The following is a 20641-nucleotide window of genomic DNA, read 5'->3' as shown; positions in this document are numbered from 1 at the left end:
CCGCTTTTGTTCCGGTCTCCCCTGCCCTCTGCACTCCCTGGGCTCTGCTTTCTCATCCTTCACCTTAGAGCATCTCCCCTTTGCCGTTCCAGGAGGCTCTTCCTCACCCCATCCGGACACATCTCGCTGGCCTCTGACTCGCCCTCATTTGGCAGTTTTGCCAGTTTCCATTTCATAGATTCAGCAAAAGAACCATTCTCCCGCCACCCAGCCCAGGCCTGGGTCCAGATGGAGAAGGGTCTGTTCCCGCACGAGGCGGGCCGGTTGTGCCTTAGTGGCTGGCCTGCACCTATGCTTCCACAAGGCACTCCCCAGGGCCCCCAGGGCCTGTCACCTCCTACCTGAGGCTGCAGGACTGGGGCTGTGCATCCTTGGTCACCACTGCTCACTGTCCTGGGAGGCGGTCACCCCAGGCCCTGGCCACATTCATTTAGCCAGTCCCTGCCAGACAATGGCCAGTGTCCGAGTGCTGGCTGTGTAGGGCCTGTGCGGGGGGGTGGCAGTGTGGGCACATGGCCTCTGCAGAGGTAAGGGAGGTGCAGGGGGCCGTCTGCAGCTCGGCTGCCCTCCATATCACCCTCTCCTTCCCCCGCAGGTAAGAATGACGGTTCCATCGGCGGGAAGCAGTACTTCAGGTGTAACCCTGGCTACGGGCTGCTGGTCAGGCCCAGCCGGGTCCGCAGGGCCACGGGCCCTGTGCGGCGGCGCAGCACAGGACTCCGGCTGGGTGCCCCCGAGGCCCGCCGGAGCGCCACCCTCTCGGGCTCCGCCACCAACCTGGCCTCGCTGACAGCTGCCCTGGCCAAGGCCGACAGGAGCCACAAGAACCCTGAGAACCGGAAATCCTGGGCCAGCTGAGCCGCTGCCTTAGGGCGAACTTTTCTGGGGGTGCCCGGCCCCTTTTGAGCCCTGCCAGTGACAGCCCTGAGGAGCCAGGAGCCCGGTGGCCCCTTCCCCAGGGGCAGGGCGATGAATGCTTTTTGCACGACACAGGGCTGGTGACCTCCCTGGGCCTCTGGAAGCTTTGTTTCTTCTGTACCCGGGTAAAGTGGGGGCCTCAACTGTGCCTCCTCAGGTGGATGGAAGGTTCTGGGTGCCCGCAGGGGCTGGGGGATGCTAGGACTGAGACCCTGGGTGGTGCAGCGCCTGGTGATCTTGCTGTGTGCCTGTGCCTGGGGCCTTATGTTGCTCTTTCTATCATTTCCATTCTGGTGGCCCCACTAATGTCTTAACCTAAACCATAATTGTAACCAGTGCCTTTCCTCCCCACTGGAGGGCAAGCCCCCCCACCCACCCAGGATGTCCTGGCTCACTCCGCAAGCCCCCCAGCCTCCCACCCTGGTCCCAGTTTCCCGCAAAGTGCCTCTGGGGGACCCCCCAGCCTCCCACCCTGGTCCCAGGTTCCACAAGTGCCTCTGGAGGGCCCTGGGCTCTGGCAGATGGTCCTGGTGCCCCAGACGGGGGCCGAGGGCCTGAGCCCCCCCATCCCTCCTCTGCCAGGGTTTCTTAGCGGTTTCTCTGTGGATGTTTTGGCATCTTTAGACACCTGGAAAGTCTCTTATGTTTGCCGTTTATTCCCTTCACAGAAGGCTTGGAATGTATTTATTTATATTTATTTTTTCAAAATCCGAAATCATTTGCGAGCCGCAATCGTCGTCTGCCTGTGTGGGGGGGCCCAGGGCCTGCCTTGCACGTTGCAGCCTCTCTGGCCATTGCAGAGCTGCTGGCCTCCTGCCCAGGTGGAGGGTCCTGGGGACGGCAGAGGATAAAGCCCCCTCCTCACATCCCTCTATTGCGGATCCACAGTGGCCTTACTCTTAACTTGGATGAGAGCAAAAACCTGGGAGAATGATGTGCTTCTGTAGTCGGTGACAAAGGAAGAGGCATTGCTACTTTATTTGGTGCACTTTTGGTTTCTAGGAAGGTCTTTGGGTCATTTTAACTTCTCGGCAACTCCCAGACTCTCAGAGTGTGGGGCTGGGGCCTGGCGGCTGGGCTGGTGCAGGGAGTGTGCTGGTTAGTCTCCAGACCCTCACAGCAGCCACGCCCCCAGGCCCACCGTGCATGGTGTGGGCGGGACAGCCGGAAGCTTCCGGGGTGGCCTCCACCTCCTGGCTGGGGCACTTATGCTCCCAGAGCCTTTGGTGCCAGGTTTGTGGGATGGGGGTTAGCGTCTATGTGTGGAAGGCCACCAATCTAGGGACAGGAGTCCTGGGTCAAGATTCACACAGCCACCCTTGGAGCTGGTTTCTAGTTCTCACATTTAGTCAACATCTAGAAAGCGCTGCGGAAGGCTCTGGTTCTCTAGGGACTTGAAGGCGCCAACAGAGTAGTCTCCATGGTGGGCCTGTCCCAGCCCTGGCTGCGAGGACAGGTTGTCTTTCTCTCCCCAGTTGGCGAGGGACACGAAGGCTGCGGCCGGGCTGGCAGAGGGCCCGGCCCCTGGGGGGAGGCACTCCTCCAGGGCTCTCCCTGTCCTTAGCCGATTTTGAGGGAACCCTGTGGCACCTGTCCCTGGATGAAGAGCTGTCACCTCTGCCTTGCCCTTTAACTCAACCCGCTTCCCAGCACAGCGGCTTTCTTTTTAAAACCTGTTTCACTGAGAAGTTTGTTTTTGGGTCCGCTGGTGTCACTATGGCCTGGGTGAGAGGCCAGCACTGCTGCTGCCCTGAGGGGAAACGCCTGGGCCGTGTAGTGGGGACGCTCTGGGAATGGTGGCGGACGGGCAGCGTGGGTGGGACCTGGCACTTCGTGGTGGCTGAGCCATCCACCCAGCAGCGGCCTCCTGTAGCACCATCTTGGGAAAGTCCTGGGGGACGTGTGTGTCGTGCTTTTTACCATCGGTTTGACTTACAGTGGAGTAGAACGAGCCAGAGTTCCTGACTTGAGCAGGTGGATTTGGGCCCAGGCCCTGTTCACTCTTGCTTCTCGGTGCGGACTAATGTCAGCTTGTGGCTGGGAAAGAGGGATGTGCAGTGACGTGGTCACCAAGGCAGTGAGCCCCGCTGACCCCGGGCCAGCACTTGGCAGGCAGGAGGTGCGGTCTCCAGAGTGGTGGGCCAGGGCGGGCTGGCCTCCGTCTTCTATCTTCTTTTCTTGCCTCCCTGACCAGCAGACTCACCTCCCAAGAACGCCTGCCCGCCCACCCGCCTTAGGACTCCCGATGCGCTCCTGGAAGGCCCCAGGAGTGGCACCTTAGTGTGGGTCGGCCCGCAGATGGCACCCAAGGCCGGGAAGGGCAGTAACTGCACACGCGGCGCTGTCAGAGATGGGGGTGGGGGATGCTTCTGGGGGCCCTGCCTCCCCATTGTGTGCCCAGAACATCCCTGGCCCCACCCCGCCACTTCCCTCGGGCCCTTATGAAGGACTGAGGCTCCAGGGTGAGAAGGCTCACTTCTGCCCCGGGCACTGCGTCCAGCAGCAGAGGGGACAGGGGGCAGGTGTGTGACTGGGTTCCTGGGTACCCAGGCCTGACCAGAGGGAGCGGGAGGGCAGAGGTGAGGAGGGGGAAGATGTTTCTGGGCCTACCAAGGTTCAACAAGAGAACGGAGCTGGGAATGTGACTGCTGGAGCCTGAGAGGTGGAGGAGTTCTGATCCCCCGTTACTTCCTAGCATTTTCTCCTCTTGCCTTAAAAGTTCCCTGTATGTGAAACGGGAAGTCCTGAGAGTGTGTGTTGGTGGCTGTGCGCACGCACACAAGACGGGAGTCACCCTGTGCTTCCTGCCCAAGATACTGACCCATTGAACCCCCAAAGCATCTTTCTCTCCACAAAGTCCGTGGTGCCTTCCTGGTGGGCTGCAGACACTAATGGTGTTGGGGGGTCTTGGAACAGCTTCTCTATGTGTGGATTCGTGTAAATGCGAAGAGTTCACATATAAAGAAGTGACTTTGATTCTGTGATTATATTGATTTGGTACACAGTAAATGGGAGTTTAAAAAATCCAAAGACTCTAATGACTTGTAAAGACTCTAATGATTTGTATCATGTAATGAACTAAACCACCTGTAATTTTGTACCGTATGTGTCTTTCCATCAAATGACCAACAGCTTCTCAATAAAACCAGACCATTTCTCACCTGCATCATGTCTGAGGCCAGTCTTGTTGCTTCTCCTTCCCCTCACCCCAACATAGGGTTTTGGGGCTCCTGGCAGGCCATCCTGTCATGGTGTGGCCTTGTTCTCAGCAAAGGTGGTGCGGGGCTTTTCCAGACTGAGACTGGGAGGAGGAGGATCAGGGAACAGCAGCAGGCCGTGCTCGCCTCCCCAGCCCATGGACTTCAGAGGCTGAACTCTTCATGATTTGGACTTAAGAGCCCAGGAGGCCCCCCGGTTCTGAGTCATCTTTCCTTGTTTGGACTTCAGCCCCTTACTGAAGCCAGGAACCATGGAAACTTTCTGGGGCCCTTCGACCCCAGGTAAGTGGTGCTACTGGGAGACAGGTGACCTGGTAGGGACTCTCCTTGGCTCTCAGGCATGACTCCACTGTCTGCTGTGACCTTCGTGTTGGTCCCCACACTGGACCTCCCCTCTCCCCTCAAACTGGGGTGAGAGGACTTCTTTCCCCTGCTGCAGAGGTGGGCAGCCTCTGGCGGGGGGAGGGGTTCTGTAACGAGGTGTTTTGGGAAGCTGGGGATCATGGTTGTGGGGCTGACATTGGTGTTGCCTGGCCCTGCTCTCTGATGAGGCCTGCATTCTGCAGCCACCCCGCCCAGCTGTGCCCAGCGTGGGCCTAGAATGGTACCGAGGATGCTGGGTCCAGCCTTCGAGCCCGGGAAGATGACTTGGCTTCCTTCCATTCGCCAGTAGATTCCCACTCAGCCACAAGGCCCCAGTCCAGTACCAGTGAGGGATGCCGGCAGCCAGTGCACATTCCCACAAGGACGCAGAGGTGCTTGTGGCCCCATGTAAAGCTTTTCTTGCTATGCCAGCGAATCAGTTGGCCCTTGGATATGAAATACACTTGCAAGTGGAGGGCTCAGCCACTCTGAGGGCTGACCAGAGCTGTCCATCAGCCAGCACAGCCGGGCAGGGCTGGTTTACATTCCTCAGTGCAGAAGAATGCTTGGAGACAAGCGCTGCCGAATAATGACAGGAATTTGGCAGCAGGAGATGCCCTGCTCTGAATGAGGCAGGACTCTGAACATAGTATTGATATAGCACCTCGAGTGGATCTTATTTTTCAAGCTACTACTATCTTGCAACTCAATGAGATGTCTTTTGCTTGCCCAAGGCTGTGTGGTTTTTTCAGCGTTGCCCAGACCCTGAAATGGGCTCTAATGGATGTCACACCCAGTTCATTCCTTCCACTCACTGTCAGTCACTTAACTAACATTCACATACCCTGTGCCTATCCTCATGGAGTGTACAGAAGCAAGCTGTCATGATGGGTGCCATGGTAGGGTGGCACTGATGCACCCAGGAGGGCCTGGGGGGTTGAGGGTGTTGGCCCTAGAGTGCTCTGAGGACACAGGGCAGTCGGGAGATGTCTGGGCTATGTGGTACACATGGAGAAGGGTTGGGTGGGCTGTGGGAAGGTTGGTTCACCAGCGCTTCTGCTTAAGCAGAAATAGCAATCTGGGGCGAAGAAAGGGGAACATGGGTGGGGATGTCCTCAGGGCTGGCCCCTACCCTCACACCCCAACCCCGAACCCCTCCCCGCCTCTACTTGGCAACTTCAACAGCGTTTGCGGCAGCTGAAAATTTTGCATAATCTTTTCTCGTGATGCATGTGAAGACACACCCTTTGTGTCTTAGGTTTCCTGAGAAGGGAGAGGGAGGCCGGGGCACCTTGTCCTCGAGTCCTGCTTAAGAATTTGATGCCAACAAATGGAAGCCTTTAGAGAAAACCAGTAATGAAAGCTTGGCTTTATTTACTGTGTTGTGTTTTTTATTTACTGCTGAAGGTGCGGCCCCAAGAGAGACAGAGCTCTTTTAAGAAAATGAGGCTCAGGGCGTGGCCTGGAATGGAAGAGAAAAGCTGCATGGGCTTCAGCTGCTCGGCGTAAGTCAGAGGCTGCACTCCCAGTGCGGGGAGAGCTCCTAGGATCCTGATGGTTTTAGGGGCGGCCAGATCTTTGTGATCGTGTAGCTTGAAGATGGTGGGGAGAAGGCAGGCCGGGTGGGCATGTGCCATATTGAGGGTGCAGTCTGGGGACTCCCGGAAGGCACAGCCTCTCCTGGTGTCATCTAGACATGTGCCAAACACAGGCTGGAGGGTCAGGGAGTGGGACGTATAGAGGGGCTTTCCTGGCTCGGTGTTGCCCTCTTACTCAGGTGGCATGCAGCAGTCCGCAGGAGACTTCTCCAGTCATTGTAAACGCACAAAGGGACCAGTGTTCAAAATGGAACACTTCTCTTTGTTTGGGTCGGTCACTTCCCAAATGATCACTTTGATCCAAAGAAATCCCAGTCAGTCTGTATTCAGTTATACATTTTATTCTCTAATAGGTACAATACTAAAATAAACACAAATTAAAAAAAAGTTTTATTAAAACAAAACTGTACAAAAAAGCAGTATACTACATTTTAATTACAGAACAGTCTACTGTCCAAAAGGCACTAATCCAGAATAGGAGATACAATGATACAGGACTCATTTGAACTATTTTATTCAAAACAATAGAGCGCTTGTTTCTTTGACCATTTACATCTAGAAACAAGGGCTTTTTGCTACAGCCATTACACATTGTTATAAATATGAGTCCTACGGGTGAAGGTGCAGTATCACTCTCCCTAGAGGAGGTTCCCATTAGTGGGACCACTGTGGAGCTCAGAGGCGGATGGCGCAGTGGGTGGGGCCTGGGACCTGCCACATGGTTGGCCCGTCAGCCCCTGGACACCCGGAGCTTGTCTTTCAGCCTGGCCTCTGGTGGTTGGTTTCTGGCCATTACTGGCAGCCACTTTCACCCCCTCTTGTGTTTTAGCACCGGCAAAGTGGGTTCTGAGAAGCTCCAGGTAACTGGGGCTGGAGGTGTGGGGGATGAAGCGTCAGCAGCGGGGAGGCATTGTGGTAACCTGATCTGAAGAAAGGCAGCAACTACTCGGAAGAGGGAGACGAAGCCCAGGGACAGCCAATGAGCTGGGCTCTACAGCCAGGCAGAGCCACCTGCTGCTTTCTGGGCAAACTTCTGGCCCCAGAATATGAGGGTCTGTTCCAAAGTTCAGAGAGATCCTGTGTCCCTTCCTGGTGACCCAGAAGTGACATCGGATCATCTTTTGTCTTGGAAGCTGATTTTTACAAGTGGAATTTTGCTTCCCAGAGGGAAGTCAACATACAGTGACCAGCCTGAAGTGGGGGAGCCCTTTCCCTCCCTCAGTCCCACCCCAGGAGTACAAGTGGCTCCAGGCCCCAGGTCCCACCACACCACGTACGGGAGCCGAACTCTGTTGGCTTACCTGTGTTTGGTGGCCAAGACACCTCTAAGCCCCATGTTTATTCTTTAATGGCCTCTGGACCTCAGGAAGAGAGATACTGCAGCTTTCCAAACAGTGTCATACACATATAAGACAAAGACAGGCATCTGATGTTAACAAAAATAAGTAACAAAGAAATAGGATTAAACCAAATCTCTTCTCACAGCATCCTATACTACATCCTCCTTCTGCTTAGCAGAAAATTGTACGTACACAAAAATACAAATACACAATTTTGTAGAACAGTCTGATTTTAATATATTTATATATATTTATATTTATACGAGTGGCAGGTTAGTTCATTATATAGAGCTTTTTGCACTTTTGGCTCATATGCAACAAGGCTTATAAATTCAGCTTCAGCTTTCATTCAGGTTTTATAGCTTTTGAACAATTGTTTTCACATTTAAAGCAGCATCCAATTTGCACTAGGAGTTTGTGGTGATTATAGGAAAGACAAGGTCAGGAGGTTATCGAAGGGGCAGGGCGGGGGGGATACATTCCAGTGTGTGTGGTGATGGACGGAGGATGCCGTGGGATAGAGCTTACCATGATGACCCCTTGAGGTAGACTGAACACCTTACAGCAGACTCAAGACACAGGTGTGACTCGCCCTCAGGGACACATGGTGCACAAGATGGACAGGGACCAGAGGAGACGCCAAGGGGAAACATGAAGACTAACACACACAGCAGCCGAGGCAGGGAGGAGCGCGCTGCCCCCACACCCGTGTGGCAGGGATCCCGCATGGCCCATCTTAGAAACTCAACTATTTGGTGGATGCTAAACACTTCACTTCAGGCAATCCCAAGGCATTTGCTCCAGGGTATCCGATGAGATTACAGCTGTTAAGCTTGCTTTCCATTTCATAACTTGCTGTGCAGCTAGTTACCACCCCCATGCTGAAGAGTAAAGCAAAGCTGCCGTGGTTCGGCAGTGGAATCCACCCCCAGCACTCTGCTCGCACTGGAGCGTTCAAGTCCGGTTATGTGAGAACAGACTAGGACTCTCTTGCTGCCTCTAATTGCATTTCACTGTCACCCTCCCCAGTGCTCTGCACTCTCACTTACATTCATCTCTTCCCTAGATAATTACAACTAGGGTAATCAACAAGCACTTGGTAGAACCTGCAAAAAATAGCATCTGGAGAACTGAGGGACGACGAACTGCCAAGGGTCCGGTTTGGTTTACATGCTACAGAAAAGCCTCATTCTCATGATCACCACAGCACTGTTCTCCCATTCGATCACCTTCGTCAGCCTGCCTTCCCTTCTCTGTCAGGTCACAATTCCATTCCACTGGCAAGTTTGCCCATGTGTCAAATATGAATACCCAGTGTTTGGGTTATTACATTGTCTGAACAAAAATGCTGGATTATTAATGAAAATAAAGTGCCTGGGTATGGATTGTTCCATGATGCAAAACCTTTTAATGCACCAACAAATCATCTCAGCGCTGCTTAGTGATGTGATTTGAACAGACTGCAGTCACAAAATAATCTGTCGTACACCCATCACAGAATAAAGGCCCCGTATTTAGGTCAGACTTAAATTATTTTTTAAAAAAGAAACAAATACTCTCACACTCATTTCCAAAGACACACTTGGGATCTGAACGCCTGATTGCTGGCTTTCCCAAGCCCTCCCGAGCAGACACCCTGATCCCTCTAGTCTAGGCAGAGAGGGCTCGGAAAGGCAGCTGGGGCTCCGGTGGCTCACGCTGGCAGGTGAGTCAGCAGGCTCATGAGCTAGGATGATTCGACGCTTCGCCCTCTTGGATGTGGACACATTTCCAACTCCTACCAAAGCCAGAGCTGGAATGCTGCTCTGAGGCTGTCTTGCTCTCCTGTCTTCTTAGTGGCTACTGAGATTTCCCTAAGCAGACTCTTAAATTCTCTATGAACCAAGACCAAACCACATAAACAGAAACGGCCCTAAAGAAAGAAACGCTGGAAAACAGTGACGAAGCCAGCCTGATATGGCTGTGAAGCGATCTCTCCCGCTAGCTTGTCCTTGCCTTGTTCTGCCTGCAGAACGCCAGGGACACTGGAGAGGGGCAGCCGCCCTGTGCCCACCCTCAAGGGCCAGTGCAGGGTGGGGAGGGATGGGGACAGGGCATAGGCCGACTCTCTGGCAGGTTCCAGAGGTCTGTATCTTGCTTAGGCACTTAAAAAACATAAACAAAAATTTATCCTTGAAAAGTACTGCATACCCAACGTGACCATGGCCGTGGAAGGCAGGGCGAGCCCGGGGGGGAGATCATAGAAGGCTGTGGGCTCTTCCAGGGGAGGCAATGATGACGCACATGGTGTCTCTCGGCAGGGGGAGTGTCCTGCCTTGCAGCCAGGGTGTGTCTGAAGACGCCAGTGCTGTGATGGCTCAGGGACCGCAGACTCGGCCCAGCAGAGGCCTTCCTGTGACCGTGCTCTACAGCCCCCCGGGAAGTGGCTAGAAGAGGCAGGGATGGGGAGGCTCCTAGGGCCTGATCTAGACGCCCGCCATGGGTCGGGGAGGCACAGGCTGCACACACTTGCTTTCTAGAGTCACCATGAGGCAACTACTAGGAAAAGAGGAGGCCCTTCCGAGTGCTCCGGCAAAACTGAGGGGCAGTCGGGACGCCCTGCCCAAGCTCCCAGTGCTTCGAAAGAAAAGCTCCACTCCCCCACATCCAGAACTTTGGTTTTGGTTTCATGGTGCCCATTTTCAGAGATGCAGTATTAAGGGGATCACCGATTCTAACATAATGAAATGTGGTTTTCAAGGCAAAAAACAATGCTGCTTGAAAGCAGCCACCGCTGAGCACGTGTCTTCCTGCAGCCCACTCTTCTAACTCTGTGCCTGCCCGCCGTGAATCTGGTTTAAGAACAAAAGAGTTCAATGCAACATCACCAGAGTGGCTGCTGCTTACATTAGTATAACACTAATGTCATTCTGTGTTCGGGCTTAATAGCTCCAACGAATGATGACGTGGAAAAATGACTCTCACGAGTTTACGCTGGGATCTTAGTTCCAGTAACGGAAGAAAAGGAGAGGTTTCTGTGCTCAAAGGAAGCCACAAAACATGACTGAAATTGAGACTCAGCCCGAAGTGACAGGAAGTTGAAAAAGTCTTAAAGGGAAGAAGGAATAAGCCTTGAAACACAAATTCTGTGACTTGTCACTGCCACAGACACTGGTTTGTGAGAGCCATGAGTTCCTTCCGAGGGAGGAATCAAACTGCTCCCATTCCAAAATCCCAATGGCACCCCAGCCACCACCAGATGCAAAATCTGGACCGATAACAAAATGCAAGGCACATATACCTTTTCTCTTTCAAATTAAGGAGGCTTTTTGGGGATTGGAGGTTGGATAATAACGTAACTGTGTACCTATTACAGGTACAGAGGATCCAGGGAGACTCTCACGAGGACCAGTCCACAGCTGTGGCCTTGCTTCTGAGGTGGTTCCAAGATGCCCACGACGGGGCAGAGCAGATCAGAAGAGAAAGACCATGAGAGAGCCAACCCCTAGAGGACCACTTACGTTTGACGGAAAAGAGGTAGACAAGGGAAGGAGGGAAGAAATGTGGAACTTTAGTTAGCTGAGTCCTCAGGTCAGCTTGGTACCCATGTCCCTTGTTCAATGTCCCTGACAAGTTACCACAGTTCCACGTGAAATGTGGCAGGACAGGAACCAGACCTCTACCTCAAAGGAGCTCATGCCTTTGCTGGATTCTGGGTTCTAGAAAGTTCTTACGCTGACCCCAAATCAAGATATGTCTCCAGCAACTGTTATTTCTTGGCAGTCAGGGCCCATGAGGAGGCAGGGAGGCCTGAGGCAGAGCAGACACTGATCTAATTCCAGAACCCCAGACCCCCGGTTTCTAGAGAGGAGGAGGGGCCAGCTGAGCAAGATGCTCCTGAACACAGCAGGAGCCCCGAAGGAACGGCCAGGGTAGCGCTACAAGAGCTGGAGAGAGAAGATGGGAAGTGCAAGAGGGTTTCCTGGTCTCTGCCTTGGCTAACTGCAGGCAAGGGGTGCCGGAGTTCAAGTTCCCCTCGGCCACACAGGCTTCCCACCCTGTCAACCACTGCGGCACCTCCCTGCACTCCTGTCATCATCACTGACCAGGGAGGAAGACTCTGGAGGGGCCCTCACGTCCAGACCCTCACGGAGGGAGTTCAGCTCACAGAGGCGGGGGCGATGCCACAGTGCGCCTGGGAGGCTACCTGGCACTGCTGCGTGAGAAAGCAAACCAGGTTAGTGTTCAGAGAGGGCAGACCATCCTATGTGGTCTGTTCTTTGAAGATGAACGTCCTACTGAAATGAAAGAAATGAGGGGAGACTTGCCTTGCCAAGGGCAAGGTGACTTGCTTGGTGTCGGGTCATGAGGCAGCACACATGTCCAGCACGGTGCCCAGCACACAGTACGTGCTCAGAAAACATGGGCTGTATTGACTTTGAGGTGGTTGGGAGACCTGTGCATTTGTCTCTGTAGTATTATGATTTACAATGGTGGCATCTTTAGTTTCCTATAAGAATAACTAACTTCTGGGGTTTTTGTTCAAAAACCACATATTTCATGGGTAAGCACTGTCTCAATTTTCACTGATTTTGGTAAGCTGAGTTACGGAAAAGGGTGGGCGCTGCTGGTAAAGGAATATATGGTTGGGGTTTTCTGAATCACCAGAGTGGCCTGCAGAAGCATTTGGGAAGGGAGGTGTCTCTCCAACTTCAGTTCTTTTGAAGTAGCACCATCCCTGAAGCAGCACCTCTAATACCTTGATCCCTAAGACAGGGGCTCCATTAGAAGGTTTTAACTGTGGTGTTAATTGTGTTTTCTTTGAGTGTAGGTGGATCATCAGAATGTTCTGCTGACGGTTTTAATGCATGTCTCACAAATCATAGAATTAGACTCATCCAGTCAGCTCTTACCATCTCTAAGCTTAAGACGGATTCTAAATTCTAATGGAGACAGTCATATTTTAGCAGCTGGGAAAATAGGAAAAGGAATGCTCTACTCTTTGAGGTCATAAATCTACAATCATTCCAGTTGTCATAAAGATAGGATCCCAAAGAAAACAGTTTCAACAACTGCATGCATGGATCTTGAATGCCGGTGTGCAAGGGCTGGGTGGGAATGAGGTTGCTTTCAGAGCCTATACGAGGAGGAATACTGAGGGAATACTAGACATTTCTTTGTAGGTATTTTGTGGGGAATGAAAAGATAAGATTCCCAAGCCCTAAGAGCCTTTCCCTAAATTCTCTAGGTGTGTGTATTTTCAGGGAAGAGGAAAATTTTAAATCAGCAGCCTACTTCAGCATTCTCATGAAACTGAATTGCAACTAGCATTTCAACTAGGTTAGGATTCCTTTTGGTATGTGGAGGGGGAAAGATCTGTACAAAGAGAAGCAGCAAAATATGAAAAAAGGCCAGAGCTGTATTCTCCCCAGTGGCTAGCCTAACCAACCCCGGAGTGTCCAGACCTAGAAAAGAAAAGGCTAACGGTCCTGGGCTCACCCAGCACAAGTGCGAGCCTCAAGGGCACGAAACAGCTTACAAAAGGCCATTTGGCACTATGTCTGGTGCTGGTATTCTTGTAGACTCATTCTTGATCATATAATTGAAAAAAGACCTCTGCAAGTGATGGGGGAGAAAAAACAAACCCACATTCTAGGGAAAGGTGAGTTGGTGACTCAGCAGCTCCTGTCTAGTGTGACACTTCTGGAGAAGAGTAGGGGGCCATGGTCAGGGACTGTGTACGGCATCAAGCCCACATGATGTCCCGTGCAACAGGGAGCATGGAAGAGACAGGAGGAAGAGCGGGAGGGAGAGAACATGGACTTGAGTGCCGGGGAGATGCTCACACTGGCACAGCAGAACAGTGGGGAAGACTCAGGGCAACGGCAACGGCGGGAGTGGGGCAGCTGCCGAGTAAGGGGTGTGAGAGGAGCGTACAGACACGTGTCCCGTGCTCCAGTAGCTTTAGAATGTCGTGAATAGTACTCCATTCACGCCTCCACCTGTTTAAAGCCTGTGTTAGTTATATGTGTCCTGTCATGTTGTCTGCTTTGAGTCTTAGGATTCAATGAGGAAACCTCGATTCAATTTTCTGTAAACTTCTGTTTGGGAAATGCTTTCTGATAGTGACGGCAATGGAAATATCAAGCAACCAAGGGAAATCTGAAGATCCCAGAGAGCCCAGCAAGCAGCAACATCCTCGAGTTAGGCAAGCAAGGGCCCGGAGCTGGCCAGACCATGGGCTGGAATGCAGTGGGGGCCGGTCAGAGGGGCTTCTTCTGGGGTCCTGACTGTGGTTTCTGCCAGAGGTGGAGCAAGTTGGAACTGGATGTTGAGTGAAGTTTCAAAGAACTTAGAAGTCAAATGGGGAACAATAATCAAAGGCTTCCATTTTGAAGCTGAAACAACTCCAAATTCTGCTGTTTCACTTAGGGGAGAACACGAGCACCATGTCATTATTTTAGTTTATGGAGCTGCTGTTCCAAATGTTCTTGGGAGCATTAGTGCTAAGAGGGAACAGGGGATGGGAGCGCTGCCATTTCCAATCACATAAAAGACAGAAATTCTTTTAATTATGACCATGCCAATCTACATCCTGCTAAAACAGCTAATTACATGTCAGGAGGACACTCAGTCATTCAGAACAATTGCCATTATATTTTTATATATTCATTCTATGCCACCCCCCTCAATTACCATGGTTACAGTTTGAAAAGATTCAGTCCAACCTTCATTTGATCACAGCACACCAATGTGAATTTGAGAGTTAATTATGGCTATACAGAGCCACTCTTACTTAAAATGAAAATGGAGTCGAGGGAGCCGGCATCCCAAGACTTCTCAAGTGCGAGTCGGGGGGTACATGCCCACGCCAGCCACACCGACCAACTGGAGGGCAGCCGAGCAGGCACGGACACAGCTGTCCAGACCAGGGCCAACCAACCTGCAAACCTGCCACGTGAAAGGAGTGTCAGGAGAGGAGAAAGGCACAGCTCCCCTGCAGCTGCACCCCTCTGGGTGCAGTTACGGGGCTGGCTGATGAGACAGACAATGGGTGTGGCATGTGGGTAGTAAACTGTCTCATGGTGTAAAAATGCTTGTCACATTTCATGTGAACAGAATCAACTAAAAAGTTCTGCCACAAATGTCATAGGAAGAATGACAAAAAAGAGGTTCAGTGATCCGCGTGCCTATAATCCCGAGGCATCTACGTCACTGAGATAAGAAAGGGCAGCCGGCATATCTTCCCTCCCACCCCTCATGTATCTCTTCCCATCTTGATTTAAAACAAAGCCAGTGTTAGAGGAGACTGGAGTTTTCAGATTGTTGGCTTTCTTTTTGCTGCCATTTCTATTCCTCACCAAGAAAGAATAATAAAGCTAATACTGAAACTTCCAATTTACAAGCTTCCAGGTTTGAAAATACATAGATATGAACGAAGTTACCTTTCAGAGATGAGTCAACCACTGGCCCTGCAAGATCACAAGACAGTAGCTTATCACTTTCAATTTATAAGTGGAATGGAGAACAGCCTTTCCAAACATAACCTGTGAGAGGAGTTTCTGTAATCAGAAAACTGACTTGTTGGCTTGTATCCGAGAAGCCTTTCCTATCACCTTAGTATGATAGTTCTCTGGAGAGCTGTGAGGAAATCTTTCTTTTAAAGTGGCGGTCATCTTTGAAACCAAGCATGCATAAGGAAGTAGAGCACAGTACAGGAAAAGAAAGGCCCTCTGCTCTGATCACACACCACCACAACATCCTGACAGATGACCTGGCCATGCACAGCTGCCTCTCCAGGAAAATCTTCCACTCTCATCAGGGAACACTGGACTGGATAACTCAGGTATTCCTAGGTGAAGTAAGTCAGACAATATGGAAATGAAGAAATAAAAAGAGGGCTTTCAGGGCACACAGCTCAGTTTGCCAAATTCAACATGGCTACAACTGATCCCCAAATCCTGAGTAAACACCCTTGCTATTTAATAAGCACAAGCAAAAAAAAAAAAAAAAAAAAAAAATGGAATGCCTTATATGTGTCATTCCCACCCCTGCCCCAGGACATCCCCCCACCCCATCCCACACTCCCCAAAGATACCACCAGCAGGAGCTGGGCAATATGCCCAACTTTCACTTGGGAAATCCTGACAAATCAATCCGGCTCAGTAAAGCTATAAATGGATTTGGCTGGTCTCAACACAGCCCCAATGAATACAGTAGTAAAACATTACTAATAATCACAACAAAATGACAAAATCTATCATCACTCTGACATGATTCAGATCACAGAGATTAACACAGAAACCAACACACAATGGTGAGGGCCAGGGTTCTTCAATGTAGTGTGCTACTGAGCACGGGATCATCAACAAGAAAAATTATTGCCTAAGAATCTGTTGGGACACACTGGGGAGAAAATACTCTGGTCGTTCTCTGAACAACAAAAGACAAAAAACAATTTTAAAAGGCAGAGCCACAAATTAAATGGGAAGACTGCTTGTAACCAAACCCTTCTGAAGACCAGAGAGTAAAGACTTAAGAGTTCACGTTTGTAGGAAGGGGAAGGGAAGGAAGGAGGGAGGGAGAACATCTGTGGGAAAGAGATCATTTCCACTGTTGAGGGCAGAGATGATGAGGCTGGTCAGTGGAATACGTAGCTGGTCAAGACAGGGAGGAGTGTCTGTGTTAAGAGATGGACCACATCCAGCTTTTCCCTGCTGTCACAAGATTAGAAAATTCCAGCAAAGAAGTCAGCTGAAGGCCTAGTCAGAGGGAAACAGAAGAGGAGCTATTCACAGGATGAGGCTGGAGACTCTTGATTCAATGAGTCTGTTTGTACTTGGTGCCTGATGGTTGATATCCAAGGGAGAAGTTTCTAAAGCCAATATTTCTTAAAGACAAATGTTAAACAGGCAGAAAGGAAATAATAACTATATTGGTGAATTCTTCAGTCATCTCCTTTGAGGTAAAATATATCTGGATACATGGACCTAACATAGGTGGTGGTGACCACTGAACTGGCTGCCACCATAAATCTACCAAGAACTAGAGAACTGGATGTGTACACCTCTGCCTTAATGATTTTCCTCGTCTCTGCCCCAGGTTCCTTCTTCCTGTGATGGGCCATGGGAATGTGAATATGGGGGTGGGGTGGGAAGACTGCCCTTGTGAGTGACAGGGGTGGGGACTGTCCAGAGTCATAAGTGAGTGGAAGGCAACTACATTTATTAACCACTTAAAGGATTGTGATTTTGATTGTGAAGAAAATTGCTCTAAGGGCACTCCAACATTACAGACTTTGTTGAAACAAATCAAAACATTTGGAACTGAATAGCACTGAAGGGCTCAGATAAGAATGCAGGGTGTTGCCCTCCCCAGCCTTCATCCACTGTTAGGGTTATCAACAGATGGGCAGAGATCTCATCAAGATGACCCATTTTAAAAGGTCCCTGTGTCAGTGCTTTTAAAGTTTGGAAAGTTTACCCATCTGACCATAGTAATTCAATTAAGGTGTCTTTAAAGAAATAACAAATTATATGAATACCTGTTGGCAAGTTCCCCCACACCCCACTTCAAAAGACCTTTGAAAGTCCTCCTCGACAGGAAGGAACAGCCCCTGCGGGAGTCCCCTGGGGCCTGAAGGAGAGAGTGAAGTACAACGGGAGGGGCGGAACAACCAAGAAGCATACAGTGTGAGTTTTTAGAGCCTGGCTGCTTTCCCTTCAGTAATACGGAAGTTTAGGGTTTCTATTTTAATTCCACCTCTAAAACCTGAAAAAGCCTAAGAGAGAAATATACTACCTAAAGACACTAGAAATAAATATAACAGTAGCAGCGCCACACACCATTACAAGAACCAAGGTGGCCTGGACAAAATGGCAGAATTGAACTTGGTGACAAACAGAAAACTAACAGGTTTAAATCTAGGCCCAAAGGAAGTAAATTCTCACTCTTGGTGAAAAAGCAAAAGTGACATGTAAGGCAGTGGGTCTTCAGAGCAGCCAGCGGTCTTCTCCAATGACAAGAACAACTGTGGGTGGAAGATGCCTTCCTCCTGTTCCCACTGAGCTCTCCAGGACATTCTCCTGCAGTGGTAGAAATATTCTTTCAGTTTTACCACATTGCCATATAGGGTCTGGTACTGCCCTTCATGGATGCGAACTTGCCTTTATTCTCTGAAGCTTTTTTTCTCCCTTAAAGGTGTTAAAACAATGAAACCTTTGAGTGCATCCACGGCAATCTTTGTATTTCTTTAGAAACTGCAGCTGTCTTAACAGTTTGAGTCAGTCTGTTCCTTTAAAAAGACCAGCAAGTACAAATGATACTAGCAATCCCATGATAAAGAAGCTATCAATTATAATAATCCCCTTACAATCAATCATGGATGTGGCTTGTCAGAGCGGATTTTTTCTCTGTCTCCTTGTACTTTCTGATTCAATTGAGAATAAGCGTCAAAATTCCACAAAAATGGGACTATGTTACATTTCCTCTAAGCAAAATAAAAGGAAAGGAAGAGAACGTAATCTCCTAATTGAAATAAAAAGATAAACCAAAAAAGAATATGAGTCGGTGGGGGGGGGGCGGTGGGAGGCTCATTCCTGAGAATAACAAATGCTACTCTTGAATTTGTTGGTTCAAGTAATACAGTAAAACAGAAGAGACGGCTCCACTTCACTTCAATGCTTGGAAGCTGAAAAAAGTACATATATTTTTTCCCCCTGAAATCCATGGACAAAAGTGGGACCAGGCCCTGCATATAGCTCTTTAAAGTCACAGACATATATAAGGTGGCACTTTCATGCCCTCTCAAAGACTTTCCTCACACTCACATAAGCAGGATTAACAGATAAGGAAATGATGCAGTCAGCGTGTGCCTTAAGTGGAAGGAAACCAACTACAAACTGGCGGATATTCAGTATCTCCTGAATGAGAAAGGGAAAACTGAGGAAGGTCATTCAGTCTCTCTCTCTCACAGTTTTAAGTTGAATACATTTGGTGGAGGAGGATGGGTGAAGAGGTAAGGAAATGGCACCTTCCTTTTATCTTAGAAATTGTTTTCAGGTAACGGACAAAAAGAAGCCGTGCTTAACATCCAGCCCCACATGCCCCTTTAAACAAGGCTTCATTATACATAGGAGAGATGGAGCGAGGCAGAAAATCCACAGCAGTTGTGCCTCTTTCAGGCGCACCCTGTGCTGCTACATTGAAGGCTCTTTCCTCTTACCCACAGTGACAGTGTGTCATTTAATCGGGATGCCAAGAGATCATTTTCATACAAGGCCAGCAGATGTAATTTTCTTTGATGCATGAATAGTTCATCATTTTGCTACTAGATGACAAGGTGATCACAGGGTGACTTTAGAATGCAAGTTCACTGTTTGGTATTTTGAGTTCTCAAAATGAAAAAAAGATTTATCAAATATAAATATCTTTAAAAAGTAACAAAAGTGCTACATATGTGATCAAGGAAAAAAATTCCATTAGTTACTGCCGCTTAAAGTAGATTAAACTTTACAAATATTACCACATCCATTATCAATATGGCTTCCAATTATTAAATAAATTGCCTGTAGCAATACAGCTTTTCACACCTCTCCAAGGACAGAGTAAAGAGAACAGCAAAGCAGTCCCATCGTGTTCTCATACAGCCACAATGTGAGTAGGAAACGTCCCCTGCTTTTCTCTGCTCCTATCTGGGCAAGTGTCTGCATCTGTGATAAGCAGCACAACCCCACTATGAAGTCCTCTAGTGACCTCTCAGAGTGAGGGGGCTTCCGTTTAATGGATACAAACACTGCAAGTTTTTTCACTCATTTTTGACCTTAGCTCCATCCTTGAAAGACTTTTTTGGTAGCAGGGAAAGGGGACACTGACAGGAGGCAAAGCAACTTCCACGATGACCTCCAAAACTTTTCCAGGCAGGCACTGCTAACTGTGCCGTGGAATGTACAGTGGTTCTGAAAACTGGACTTAGCATCCATTAGACATTCAGCTCATATTTTTTTTTTCCAATGCTCTCAAGCTGGGTTTTTTTTTTTTTTTTTTTTAATGACTTTTGGTTTTTGTCTTTGTTTTTAATCATGGTCCCAAAGGCAGAAGGCAGTATTTTATCTACTAAGTCACACAGCTTGTGAGAGGAAAGGATGTCTGTGTCAGGCATGTTAACTTCAAACAAAATCTGAGATCGGCTTTTTCCATTGACATTCTTAGCACAGCACCCAAAGAAGTATAATCTAGCCACAGTGTGGCTATAATGAGGCACGGCTTATTGCAGCTGGAAATCAATTATCCTCACGCTGAGGTGGGGATTCTAGTGTTCCTTTGACTCTGTGGATACTCCCCAAATGGTGTCTGTCATTCCTGTGCCACGACCTCAGCTTGCATCCTATCAGTCTTGGGGAAGGAAAAGGGAGTACAGACTAGTGTTACAAGAATCTAAAGGTACCCAAGATTTTACACGTAGTCTAATATTTGAGAACTGAGGGCTATCTAAATACCTGGAAGCACTTTCTTGGAATGCTAAGACGGAGCAGCAAGATTTTCTAGCCTCGGGGGCTGGGAGAGGGAAGTTTGGTTGGTTGGTTGGTTATTATTTACTGGGAGTTAATACTGAGAGAGTATATGCAAAGGCTGAGGGCACCATGCCATCTTCACAGAACAAGACCCTAACAGCTACCTGACATACAAGAAACTGCAAGTTATACTGTAAGAACACATGTTAAGGACCGAGGAAAGTCTGCTAAGGTGCTACGTCTAAACTAAGTTAACTTGTCATGTTTAACCTCCCTGATCAGTCATCATCCAGGGCCTCTGTCTTGATTTCGTTGGCTCCTTGTCGGGCCAATGCCAAGATAGTGTGGTTGACTGCTGCCATTTCCACAGCTAATGAGATGGGGTCTTGGTGGTCACTATGGCTCGTACTGTCATCCTAGATGTGCAGAAATAAGAAATGTTATTAGTGGATTGGAAGAATTCTTTAGTCACAGAGAGACATGCTGGGGCAAGGGGAGGCAGAACATTCGTGGGAGGAAACTGGGGGAGGGGCTCATGATAAAATAGAGGTAAATTGTATTTAAGTAGACACTGAATGGATATAGGTCCAAAGATTTTCAGTTGATAATCTTATGATTCAACAAGTAAAAAGCACAAAAAATGTTTTTCATCACTGAGAATTCTATTCATTCTATTAATAAGATTGCTGGTGATGATGATCAAACCTGCAGTG

The 20641-nt window shown here is 49.4% G+C and overlaps 2 protein-coding genes across 37 annotated transcripts in view, besides 8 other annotated features; one reads left to right on the top strand and one right to left on the bottom strand.

The window, feature by feature from the left end:
- KIF13B (kinesin family member 13B) overlaps window positions 1-4084 on the top strand; it is a 196111-nt gene extending 192027 nt beyond the window's left edge. For all 7 annotated transcript variants that reach the window (XM_011544459.4, XM_005273458.2, NM_015254.4 and 4 more), the window contains one exon: window positions 596-4084. In XM_011544459.4, coding sequence (XP_011542761.1) covers window positions 596-858 — 263 coding nt within the window. In that variant the 3' untranslated portion in view covers window positions 859-4084. The remainder of the gene's footprint in view (window positions 1-595) is intronic.
- Window positions 336-1065: an enhancer, noted in NCBI's record as "H3K4me1 hESC enhancer chr8:28927814-28928543 (GRCh37/hg19 assembly coordinates)". NCBI's record gives its function as "activates a minimal SCP1, AML or CMV promoter by ChIP-STARR-seq in primed H9 embryonic stem cells {active_cell/tissue: H9 hESC(primed)}" and the evidence as "EXISTENCE:reporter gene assay evidence [ECO:0000049][PMID:30033119]".
- Window positions 4325-4824: an enhancer, noted in NCBI's record as "H3K4me1 hESC enhancer chr8:28924055-28924554 (GRCh37/hg19 assembly coordinates)". NCBI's record gives its function as "activates a minimal SCP1, AML or CMV promoter by ChIP-STARR-seq in primed H9 embryonic stem cells {active_cell/tissue: H9 hESC(primed)}" and the evidence as "EXISTENCE:reporter gene assay evidence [ECO:0000049][PMID:30033119]".
- Window positions 6876-7170: a silencer, noted in NCBI's record as "tiled region #8281; K562 Repressive non-DNase unmatched - State 14:Gen5'". NCBI's record gives its function as "represses a minimal TATA promoter and a strong SV40 promoter by Sharpr-MPRA in K562 cells {active_cell/tissue: K562}" and the evidence as "EXISTENCE:reporter gene assay evidence [ECO:0000049][PMID:27701403]".
- Window positions 9905-10024: an enhancer, noted in NCBI's record as "active region_27181". NCBI's record gives its function as "activates an Ori minimal core promoter by ATAC-STARR-seq in GM12878 lymphoblastoid cells {active_cell/tissue: GM12878}" and the evidence as "EXISTENCE:reporter gene assay evidence [ECO:0000049][PMID:35858748]".
- Window positions 10055-10104: an enhancer, noted in NCBI's record as "active region_27180". NCBI's record gives its function as "activates an Ori minimal core promoter by ATAC-STARR-seq in GM12878 lymphoblastoid cells {active_cell/tissue: GM12878}" and the evidence as "EXISTENCE:reporter gene assay evidence [ECO:0000049][PMID:35858748]".
- Window positions 10165-10214: an enhancer, noted in NCBI's record as "active region_27179". NCBI's record gives its function as "activates an Ori minimal core promoter by ATAC-STARR-seq in GM12878 lymphoblastoid cells {active_cell/tissue: GM12878}" and the evidence as "EXISTENCE:reporter gene assay evidence [ECO:0000049][PMID:35858748]".
- Window positions 10255-10394: an enhancer, noted in NCBI's record as "active region_27178". NCBI's record gives its function as "activates an Ori minimal core promoter by ATAC-STARR-seq in GM12878 lymphoblastoid cells {active_cell/tissue: GM12878}" and the evidence as "EXISTENCE:reporter gene assay evidence [ECO:0000049][PMID:35858748]".
- Window positions 13692-14891: an enhancer, noted in NCBI's record as "P300/CBP strongly-dependent group 1 enhancer chr8:28913988-28915187 (GRCh37/hg19 assembly coordinates)". NCBI's record gives its function as "activates an origin of replication core promoter dependent on BRD2, BRD4, P300/CBP, MED14 and CDK7 cofactors, with strong dependence on P300/CBP, by STARR-seq in HCT116 cells {active_cell/tissue: HCT116}" and the evidence as "EXISTENCE:reporter gene assay evidence [ECO:0000049][PMID:35650434]".
- HMBOX1 (homeobox containing 1) overlaps window positions 18092-20641 on the bottom strand; it is a 163155-nt gene continuing 160605 nt past the window's right edge. For 15 of the 30 annotated variants that reach the window (XM_047422223.1, XM_017013823.3, XM_047422219.1 and 12 more), the window contains one exon: window positions 18092-20344. In XM_047422223.1, the coding sequence (XP_047278179.1) occupies window positions 20207-20344 (138 nt within the window). In that variant the 3' untranslated portion in view covers window positions 18092-20206. The remainder of the gene's footprint in view (window positions 20345-20641) is intronic. The other 15 variants (NR_136758.2, NR_136757.2, NM_001324393.2 and 12 more) reach the window with 1 other exon arrangement.

The sequence above is a fragment of the Homo sapiens genome, chromosome 8 (assembly GCF_000001405.40).
Source record: "Homo sapiens chromosome 8, GRCh38.p14 Primary Assembly".
Lineage (NCBI taxonomy): Eukaryota > Metazoa > Chordata > Mammalia > Primates > Hominidae > Homo > Homo sapiens.
The sequence above is the reverse complement of the archived record's forward strand: the minus strand, read 5'-3'. Positions and strand labels throughout refer to the sequence as shown.